General features: G+C 46.3%; 1 protein-coding gene across 2 annotated transcripts; it reads left to right on the top strand.

The window, feature by feature from the left end:
• Positions 1–1,242: 1,242 nt before the first annotated feature.
• On the top strand, positions 1,243–5,019 carry DCD (dermcidin). Of its 2 annotated transcripts, NM_001300854.2 has the most exons (6): positions 1,243–1,362; positions 2,449–2,487; positions 3,901–4,002; positions 4,346–4,435; positions 4,661–4,724; positions 4,852–5,019. In NM_001300854.2, exons 1-6 carry the CDS (start codon positions 1,305–1,307, stop codon positions 4,862–4,864), a joined length of 366 nt encoding a protein of 121 aa, NP_001287783.1. In that variant the 5' UTR covers positions 1,243–1,304; the 3' UTR covers positions 4,865–5,019. The 2 variants fall into 2 exon arrangements, with proteins under 2 accessions (NP_001287783.1, NP_444513.1); NM_053283.4 differs by lacking the exon at positions 4,661–4,724.
• Positions 5,020–10,024: the final 5,005 nt, after the last annotated feature.

The raw sequence follows: 10,024 nt of genomic DNA, 5'->3' as shown, positions 1-10,024 counted from the left end.
CCAGCTTGGGTCTGGAATAGATGGAGGAGGGAGCTGACCAGTTTTGACACATGTATTCCTCACACGAAACCTGTAGGATTAAAATGATCATTTCTCACCATCAAATGCAAAACAGCTGAAGTGGAACACAAGAGCTGGAGTCAATAATACTGTATTGAATTTGGGATTTTTGCTGGAAGAGCAGATTTTGGGTGCTCTTACACATACACACACACACACACACACACATACAGAGAGACACACACACAAAAGGCTAATTATGTAAAATCATGGATGTGTTCATTTGCTTGATTATAGTAACCATTTCACTAAATACATGTATATCAAAACTTCATGTTACACCTTAAATATTACCATAAAATAAAAGAAGAAAGAAAAACAATTGAAGTGGGGCAGGTAAATTGCCTCTCTGAAGGCCACACAGCTAGTAAACAACAAAATCGAGTCATAAACCCACATCTCCAGGACTTTCTGCCATTTCGAAGAAAACACAAGTCCGCAGGAAGGGATTCTGAGGCAGAGAGAAGCACCTTTGGATTCTCCACTTCTCTGGATTATCCACACCACTGGCCTCCCTCCCCTATATGAAGGGCAAACTGGGAACTGACTTCATATTCTGGTTAACTTACCAGGAGAATTTTCTGGGGTAGAGGATCATTAGCTGGGACTGAAGACACCCTGGTCAGGGCCTACTGAGGCTGGGAAGCTCTGGTTACCACATGGAGACCCCTAGAGAGGACATCAGCCTCTCTGGACCTTAGTCAGGTGGGATCCCCAAATGCTGTGAGGGCAGCCCCCTAGGGTGGGCTTAACCCACTCAAGGGAAGCCTCAGCCACCCCCACTCTCTCCTAAGGAGGCTGGATCTGACATCTTGGGCCCCCCTTCTGTTTCCAGGTGGAAGGAGAGCCTTCTGGGCACAGCCCTCCTGCCAGGGCCCTCTCCAGAAACCTCTCACAGTCTTCCCCAGGACCCCAGATGCAATCAGAGATGGGAGCCCAGGGACAAGCGAGATGGGAAGGGGAGAGGCAGGAAAAGGATGCCAGTCAGGACAGTGCCAACTCCAGAGCTGCTGTCCAGGACCTACCTGCAGGGAAGGCGGGCACCAGCCAGCCCCAGCCAGCCTTTGTTGACTTAACAGGTGGCTCTGAGGTGGGAGAAGAGGAGGAGGAGAACACACCACTGGAAGACTGGTTCCCATTGGTCCCTGTCATGCTTAAAAAAAGGCCCAGAGAGGCAGTCTTGACACCCTAGATCCCAAGATCTCCAAGGATTTGGTGGCATACCCACTCCAGCACACAGAAGCATGAGGTTCATGACTCTCCTCTTCCTGACAGCTCTGGCAGGAGCCCTGGTCTGTGCCTGTGAGTATGGCTCTTCCCCGACACCCAACCATATAGTCCCCTGAAGACTGGGCCCTGCCTTCATTTCCCCTTCCCCTCCTCGCCAGAGGCAGTTCACCCAAGTCTGTCTCTGTAGCCCACTCCTGCCTCCCACTAGGTTCTCCACACAGGGACTCTATGGTCAGAGGAAGCCAGGAGCCCTGTGGCCCCAGCCTGGCTCTCCATTGCCTCTCCTCTCAGTCTGTGATTGGCCCACTCTGCTCCAACCACTCTGGCATTCTTTTTCCCCTCAATGAACCAAGCCATTTCCCACTGCCAAGACTTTTGCACATCCTCTTGTCTTTTCCCCTGCCCATTATTTCACCCACCCACGTCAACCTCCTTCCTACTCAATTTCCAAGTGTCCGCCCTGCTAGCTCTCTGTGTCCATGTATTTCCTCACAGCAGGCTTGCTGAAGCCCCAGAATCATTTTGGCCCCTATTTTGCATTTTCTTGCCTCCTGTATTTTTCCTTCCTAGCACTATCACAAATGTAATTAAATAATTGTTTATGTAATTATGTTAATTCCTCCAAATCCCCCATTGACTGTCAGCTTCCCCGAGCAATTACACTGTCTGTCTTCCTCACAGCTGTATCTCTAGCCTCTAACACCATGTCTGGTGCATAATGCGTGCTTCATTCATGCTTTTGGAAGAATAAAGAAATGGAGGGAAGGTCCTTCTGAGGTCATTCTATCAGGTGACAATCAGAACAACTCCTGCCCTGTCACTAGAGCAGGTGCTGTGGTCATGCCCTCGTGGTCATGCCCCTTCAACTTTCATTATGAAACTTGGACATCTAAGACATAGAAGAGAGTCAGAGAATGATTCCATTTCCATAGGGATGTTCTGAGTAGCCTAGGTCTAGGGAGGATAACAGAGAGAGGGATTTGGTTGAGATACCAAAAAGCATTTCTAGTGGGCCCCTTGTGAAGCAGAGATTTCTCTCCTGTCTGTCCACTGCCACACTCCTGAGATTAGAGGCCTGGGAATTCTAGGCAGCCCTGGCTGGATACAGCTCATGCAACTGTGCCCTACTTGACATGGTCACTGTTCCCTCCTTTGCAGATGATCCAGAGGCCGCCTCTGCCCCAGGATCGGGGAACCGTGAGTCCTTTCTCTTCCTCCTGCCCCAGTCCTGGGTGGGAGGGTTAATGACTTGGGATATGAGTGGAGGAAGTCAGAGAAGCAGAAGGGGGGTCCGGGGAAGGAGAGTTGGGAGGCCGACTTTTAGGAGACATGGAGAAGGGAGACTTCCTGAGAGACTCATGCACTGGAGAAGGACAGAGCATGGGGGAAAGGGTGGCCCTGTCTGGAAGTAGAAGTGGAGTAAGAAAAATGGGAAAGAAAAGAATACTTTTCTTGAGCAAGAGGAGGAACTTCACATTAGATGGGTTCAGAGGTTTTCATCTGCCCCACCTTCACCAACAATTTCAATTCAAAAACCTTTCACGTGGTTTCCCATTTCTCATCACGAAACTCTCACCTCCTAGCCTGACATTCAGGGTATCCATGATCTAGATCCAGGGTACTTTTCAAATATAATTTCCCTAGACTCCACTGCTTGCATTCTCCACATCAAACGTTATACATTTGTTTCATCAGACAGCATGAGTAACTTTCTACTACCCAACGTTCCTCTTCCTGGGTACCTTTTCAACCCCTACCTGTCCGTGCTCTAACAAGCTTCAAGTCCCAGCTGCTCTCTGAAGCCCTCCCTGCCTGGTGTGTATGGTGCCTCTGTCCCAGTCTCTCCTTTCATCCCTCCCTCTTCTGGGCTTCCCATATATAGCAGTTTTGTCTCTTTTCCTAGACTGTAAGCCCCTGAGAGAGAGATCTAATTCTCATTCATTTCTACTTCCCCAGCCATGTACACACTCTGGATAATTAACGGCAGAAAGATAAACTGTATTTCTGCACATCTTCACTGCACTGCGAGCCCCAACCACAGCACACACCTGCACCCTCCCTGCCTTCTCACATAAAGCCCAGAGGGAACACCGGGCACCTTGGTGTCTTCTCAGATGCCCCTGGAGCGTTTCACACCAATGCAATAACAGAAGTTTTGATTTTCCAGATAAACAAATGGATTGTTTACAGCTACAGAAGCCCCCTTCAGAGACTGCCAAATTTCTGTCCTCATCCACCAACCTGCCTAGAAGAGAGAAGCTAGTGCCCTCTGCAAAACCTCCCCACACTAGGGGGCTGGTATAAGGGATGAAAACTAGGGGGAGTCTCTTTAAGGTGATCTTTCTGCCAAAATGACTTTACTTTTCCCTGAACCATAATCTACTCTAGAAAAGGGCCCTGGAGGAGCAGGAAAAGTCTTGGAGGCAGCAGGAAAAAGCTTGAGGGATGCTAAAGAACCTAACACATCATGAAAGTCAAGCTCTAGAGGAATTGGGAGAGAGGGAGCTATCCTCAAGCCAGACCTTGAGGGGGTAAAAGCACCACCTGCTCCCCGACCAGGGTGGAAAGAGTGAAATAGCTATTATTCCTCTCACTCCCTTACCCTTGCAGCTTGCCATGAAGCATCAGCAGCTCAAAAGGAAAATGCAGGTGAAGACCCAGGGTTAGCCAGACAGGCACCAAAGCCAAGGAAGCAGAGATCCAGCCTTCTGGGTAAGCCTCTTTCCCAATGCCTGGTATAGAATTCTGATGCATGAAACAGCAAGATATCTGGGGGCCAGTCTGCCCTCACAGGCACAAGCACAGGGACACAGCTACACCCATATTCCTAGGGAGGGCTTGGGGTGCACACCTGCTTCTACATACAGGGTTTCTGGGCCATAGGTTTTGCAGCTAATACTGGCCTACCAACCTTCCCATGACAGAGAAGTTGGTTCCTTCAGCAAAACCACTTCACCTTAGGGGTGCCCATGGTGCCTAGGAAGCGGGGGAGCTCTCCTACAAAGGAAGTAGTTTTTCTGCTTCTATGACCTCTTCTTTTCTGAATCCACCCTAGAAAAAGGCCTAGACGGAGCAAAAAAAGCTGTGGGGGGACTCGGAAAACTAGGAAAAGATGCAGTCGAAGATCTAGAAAGCGTGGGTAAAGGTGAGTATATGTCCCCACTCCTCCCTCAGGACCAGCCTCAGTCTCCACCCCTTGCATGAGATCTGAAACTGCCACAGCCCCCCCATTGAAGACCCCTCACTTTGTGCTTTCAAATGTCTCCAATTCCTCATCCAGATTTAAATTGCCATTCTTGTCTGATATTGATACTTCCTGGGGTCTAACTTGCTTTTTTTTTTATTGCTCTTGCCCCCTGCCCCTGCCAAGGTGGGGAAGAGAGGTTGGTCTTTGGGGCTCCTGTGAATCTAACCTCCATCCCTCTGACTTCTGTGTAAGCACCTCCAGGCCTCCCTTCCCCTTCCCCTTCCCCTACCTCTCCTTCCCCAATTCCCTGGCTCTCTTTCCCTTCCTTTTTTCTTCCTACCCCTTTACCCCATTTTTTTCTGTGGCTGTCCTAGGAGCCGTCCATGACGTTAAAGACGTCCTTGACTCAGTACTATAGCTGTAAGGAGAAGCTGAGAAATGATACCCAGGAGCAGCAGGCTTTACGTCTTCAGCCTAAAACCTAAAAAAAAAAAAAAAAAAAAAAATTTAAAACAGCTATTAAACTGAAAGCATCTGTAATACTTGGAGTATGTGTGTGTTTTCCTTAAGAAGAGATGGGGTATGAAACCTGGCCAGGAGCCCAAAAGGTTGGAAGAGCACTCCATGAGGCTTCAATTGGCACCCTGGCCCTTCCTCCCGAAACACAGCTTCCAGACCCAGCCTTCCCAGAGAGCACAGCTCCAGCAAGTTCTTTGATTCATGCCCAGCCCCTCACCCATATCTGCAGGGTCTAAGCCTCAAGTCCCAAACTGGTTGCCTCCTTATCCCTCATTCTGCCTGCCCAATGCCATTTTACTATGCATCAGTGTTGAGTGGGACTTTTCTCATTGCCCTGGATTTGGCTCTAGGACCCACAGCTAGAATCATAGACCCCCCAAATACCCCACATTCCATGGAGAACTTCTGACATCTGGAGCCTGCCCACCACCCTGGGACTTCCTTAGAGCTAGAAAAGCCAGCCCAATCCCAATCAATCACAGAACTATCATTCGCTACCCCGTGGAGAAGGAGAAAAGTGGAATCATCAGGGTCACTGGCTCTGATGAGCACTGGGGAAAGCAGTGCACATAGCAAAGAGATTTTTCTTGAAGATCTCCATGGAAGAAGGGAGGGAGATGCTTCTTCTACCCTTCAAGTCAAGTGAAGGGCTGTGGAAATCACTCCTAGATTGAAGGTTCCAGTCCAGGAGGAGACAGGCATCTCCCCCACCAACCTCCCATCCCCAGCTGAATGCACCCTCTAGACTGACCTGAAGCTGCCCAGACTGGAGCACAGTAGGACAGCTCTTGAGAAAGCCGTGTCCCTAGGCATCAAGATTATATTAATTAGGGAAGGCTAATCTACTATAAACAATAATCCAAGATATAATTGCACAAACATGTACAAGTCAAGATGGTTTGCTCCAGATTTGGGGGAAAGAGGCAATAGTCTGTCTTCTCCACAGAGTCGTTTAAGGATTCCAGGATGCCAACAGCCCTGCCACCTTCAATATCTAGCTTCAAGATCATTCTGTCATCTTATCACCATTCCAACTACAGAAAGGGGGAAGGAGCATGGAACAGATTGCTTGGAGGTTTGTATGAGCTATACTAACAAGTTATATAAGAACCCACTCCCAGTGACCACACCTAACTGCAAGGACTGGAAATGCCTAGCAGTAGGATGGTCAAAATGAATGTTTGTCTCCCTGTAGCAACTTCTGCCACAGGGCAAAGTGAACAAAAAGGTGGGTACCTGTTTATCGTCTGACATTTCTAGAAGCAAGAAGTTTTTCATGGTAGCCTGTGGAAGAGATGCAAGAAGACACTCTCATCCAAGCTCCTGAGGCCACTAAAGAGCAAGGAAGAGAACTTAGGATTCCCATTGCTCTCATGAGTGCATTTAGAAGAGGGATCGAAAGCCAAGAAGCTGCACTGGGGGCTTCCAAGCTGGATGGGAGGAGGCAGAACCTGGTGAGAGGGTTGAGACTGTGGGCCACTGGCCCAAAGGAACTGCCACTCTTTGAGGGTTTCCACAGCAATGGCAGGGCTGAGGTGAAGCTAATCACCAACTATCTGGTGACCACCACACCCTGCATCAGTGGAGGCATCCAGAGGAGCAGAAGAATGGAGACCAAGCCAGGAGGAGATCAGGATTTCTCCCTCATTGACTGTGATCAGTGACCTTAGAAGATCTCTGTCCGCCCCATCCCACCTTGCCTGAGATCCAGAACCAGACCCCACCCCTTTTCATGTCTCTCCAGTAAAGTATATGCTGGGGAAAGGAAAGGGAGGTAAGATTTTATACTGGATGGACTCTCAACAACCACAAAGAACTAGAATAAATGGAATCCTCTAAATTTGTCATCAATAAATGGGAAAGGGAGATTTAACAACACATACAAGATGCCTCTCAATTTAGGATGAGGTTACAGCCTGATAAACCCATCATAAGTTGAAAATATAAGTTAAAAGTACATGTAACATACCTAACCTACTGAACATCATAGCTTAGTCTTGCCTACCTTACACGTGCTCAGAACACTTACATTCACCCAAAACTGGGCAAAATCATCTAACACAAAGCCTATTTTCTAATAGTGTTGAATAGCTCATGTAATTTATTGAAAACCATAATGACAGTAGAAAACAGTGTGCTTTTATGGGTACTAGAAGTATGGATTCTACTGAATGTGTATTGTTTTCTCACCGACGTAAAGTCAAAACATTGTAAGTCGGGGACTATCCGTATTTGGGAGCACTGTTTGAAGAAAAACAAACTCCACCAAGTCCTGCCTATTCAAGAAAATATTGTTTCTAAAAATAAACCCACAAGCATCAGGATTTGTCATCATAATGATGATCAAGGGGCTGGGCACAGTGGCTCACGCCTGTAATCCCAGCACTCTAGGAGGCCGAGGCAGGTTGATTGCCTGAGCTCAGGAGTTCGAGACCAGCCCAGTCAACATGATGAAACCCCATCTCTACTAAAAATCCAAAAAAATTAGCTGGGCGTGGTGGCGTGTGCCTGTAATTCCAGCTACTCAGGAGGCTGAGGCAGGAGAATCACTTGAACCTGGGAGGCAGAGGTTGCAGCAGTGAGCCGAGGTTGCTCCTTTGCACTCCAGCCTGGGTGACAGAGCAAGACTCCATCTCAAAAAAAAAAGAAAAAAAAGAATCAAGGACAGCCATTTCTAAAGGGGTCTTCGGTTATGTATATTAAAAATTCAAATCTAATTCTCAAAATGTTAAGGAAAAAGCAAAGAGATGGAAACAAAGGAAGAGCATGATAAAGCAAGCACAATTAAATGTTGACATTTGGGAGCTCAAGTCCCCATTGGATCTAGAAAGAGGATGTGAAAATTCTTTGTACTATTTTTACAAATCCTCTGTAAGTCTGAAGTTATTTCAAAACAAAAAGTAGGTAATGCATATGTTAATTAGCTTGATTTAGCTGTTCCACATGCAACCATATTTAGAAACATCACATTGTATGTGATAAATATATACAATTTTCATTTGTCAATTTTTAAATTAATTAGCTTTAAAATAATACAAAGTAAAAATATTAAATGAAGTGTTCTGAAATAATAAGAAAATTAGGAGTTTTACAAGAAAATCCAGATTTCCAATTTTCCTTGAAGAATTAGAATGTCTGGCAGCCATCCGCTCAAGGCAGAGACAGCTGACCACTTTACAAAGGGCAGGCACACTCCAATTTGCTCCAACTCTACCACTTCCTCCTGATTTCCTGCACCTGAAAGGGAAGGACAATTACTACTTATCATCGCACCTATGCTGCCGTTTGCCTTGTACCTGGACTGCCTGGCTCATTAATGGTACCTGCTTGACTCCTGTAGGCATTGAAATTTGCAACCCTTAGCCCTGACCTTTGACCCCAAGTCCCTTTCTGGACATTGCCAGATGAGGTAGCTAGACCCCATGGGAGCCATGAGAATCCTTTTTGCTTAGACCACAGGCAGGAAGAGGGCCCGCTTATTGGTCTTCTTTGTGGACTGTTTCACAGCTTCCTGGAGCTTACCCCTTCACTTGTGAAACTAGAGATAGAAAAAAAAAAATCCTTCCCCTTAAGGTCTGGAAAAAGCTTTCCGAAGATGCCCATAACATGCCCTTTTTTTCCTCTGGGCCCAGTTGGTGTCCACTAAACCTTCCAAAATCAAAATGCTGAAGGGTACTGTCCTAGTTAATTTTATATGTCAACTTTGCTGGGCAACAATGCCCAAATATGTGGTGAAACATTATTCTGATGTTTTTGTGAGGGTTTTCTTGGATGAGATTAACATTTAAATTGGTAGACCTTGAGTAAGGCAGATTGCCCTTGAGTAAGGCAGATTGAAGGTGGGCCTCATCCAGTCAGTTGAGGCCCAAATAGAACAAAAGACAGACCTCCCCTGAGCAAGAAAAACTTCTGCCAGAAGGTGACCTTCAGACTTGAACCACAACATCAGCTATTTCCTGGGTCTTCAGCCTAACACCCTTCAGACCTGAACTACAGCTTTTGGACATGCTAGCCTCCATAATCACATGAACCAATTTTTTAACATAAATCAACCTCTCTCTGTTTCTCTCTCTCTCTGTCTCAATCTCTCTCTCGATATATATATATATATGTGTGTGTGTGTGTGTGTGTGTGTGTCTGTCTATAAATATTCATACTATATATAAATACATATACATACAAATACACACATATCCAATTAGTACTATTTCCCTGGAGAACCCTAATGAATACAGGTACCAATTAGTTAAACTAGAGAAATGTAATGTTACAGAGTCCTCATATTTATTTTAAAATGGAATTTAACATTCCAGCAAGGAGTTGTGGTTGACAGCACAGACTCTGAAACTAGGAAGCCCACATTGAAATCCAGCTCTGCCACTCACTAGCTGTGTTATCATGGGCCAGCATCTTAAACTGCCTTTGCCTTAGTCTGCTTATCTAGAAAGTAAGAGTATTAATAGTACTTTATCTCATTGGGTTGTTAGGAGGATTAAGTGAGATTAAAATGGATAAAGCTCTGAGAATAGTGCTTGGCACATACTACATGCTGTATGTATGTTAAAGAAACAGAATTCACATTTTTAAAATTTTTTCACTCATTGCTTTGTCTTTACACCTCCCCGATGGCCAAGGTGGAAGATCGGAGGCATCACAGGAGTGTGGCAGAGCTTGTGCAGGCCACAGGGCTTGGCAGAGAAGACAAGCCATGTCGAGCACAGCAGCCAGGGTAGAATGGCCCTCGGAGATCAACGTGTGCCTGTGTCTCCAATGCAGGAGCAGTCTACCCTAAATAGTCCATGTCAATTCCTCCCTTTGGAGTCTCTGCTTCCCCACCAGCCCCCAGAACATGGCCTAACACACAGGGAGGGGAATGAGGAAAAGACATTCATCACAGTTCAGACAGGAAGTGGTGTATCAGTGGAGAGGTCCAAGTAGAAAACAAATGGCACACTCAGGAGGGCTTATATATATATATAAATACTTTAAGTTCTAGTGTACATGTGCACAATGTGCAGGTTTGTTACA

This window comes from Homo sapiens, chromosome 12 (assembly GCF_000001405.40).
Source record: "Homo sapiens chromosome 12, GRCh38.p14 Primary Assembly".
NCBI lineage: Eukaryota > Metazoa > Chordata > Mammalia > Primates > Hominidae > Homo > Homo sapiens.
This window is presented reverse-complemented; position numbering and strand designations above follow the sequence as displayed.

Bases quoted from the DNA above. Each gene is read 5' to 3' on its own strand.
- DCD (NM_001300854.2), top strand. From the start codon at position 1,305: ATGAGGTTCATGACTCTCCTCTTCCTGACAGCTCTGGCAGGAGCCCTG. The intron at 4,003-4,345 runs GTAAGCCTCTTT...AATCCACCCTAG, and splicing joins GCAGAGATCCAGCCTTCTGG to AAAAAGGCCTAGACGGAGCA. The intron at 4,436-4,660 runs GTGAGTATATGT...GCCCCTGCCAAG, and splicing joins TCTAGAAAGCGTGGGTAAAG to GTGGGGAAGAGAGGTTGGTC.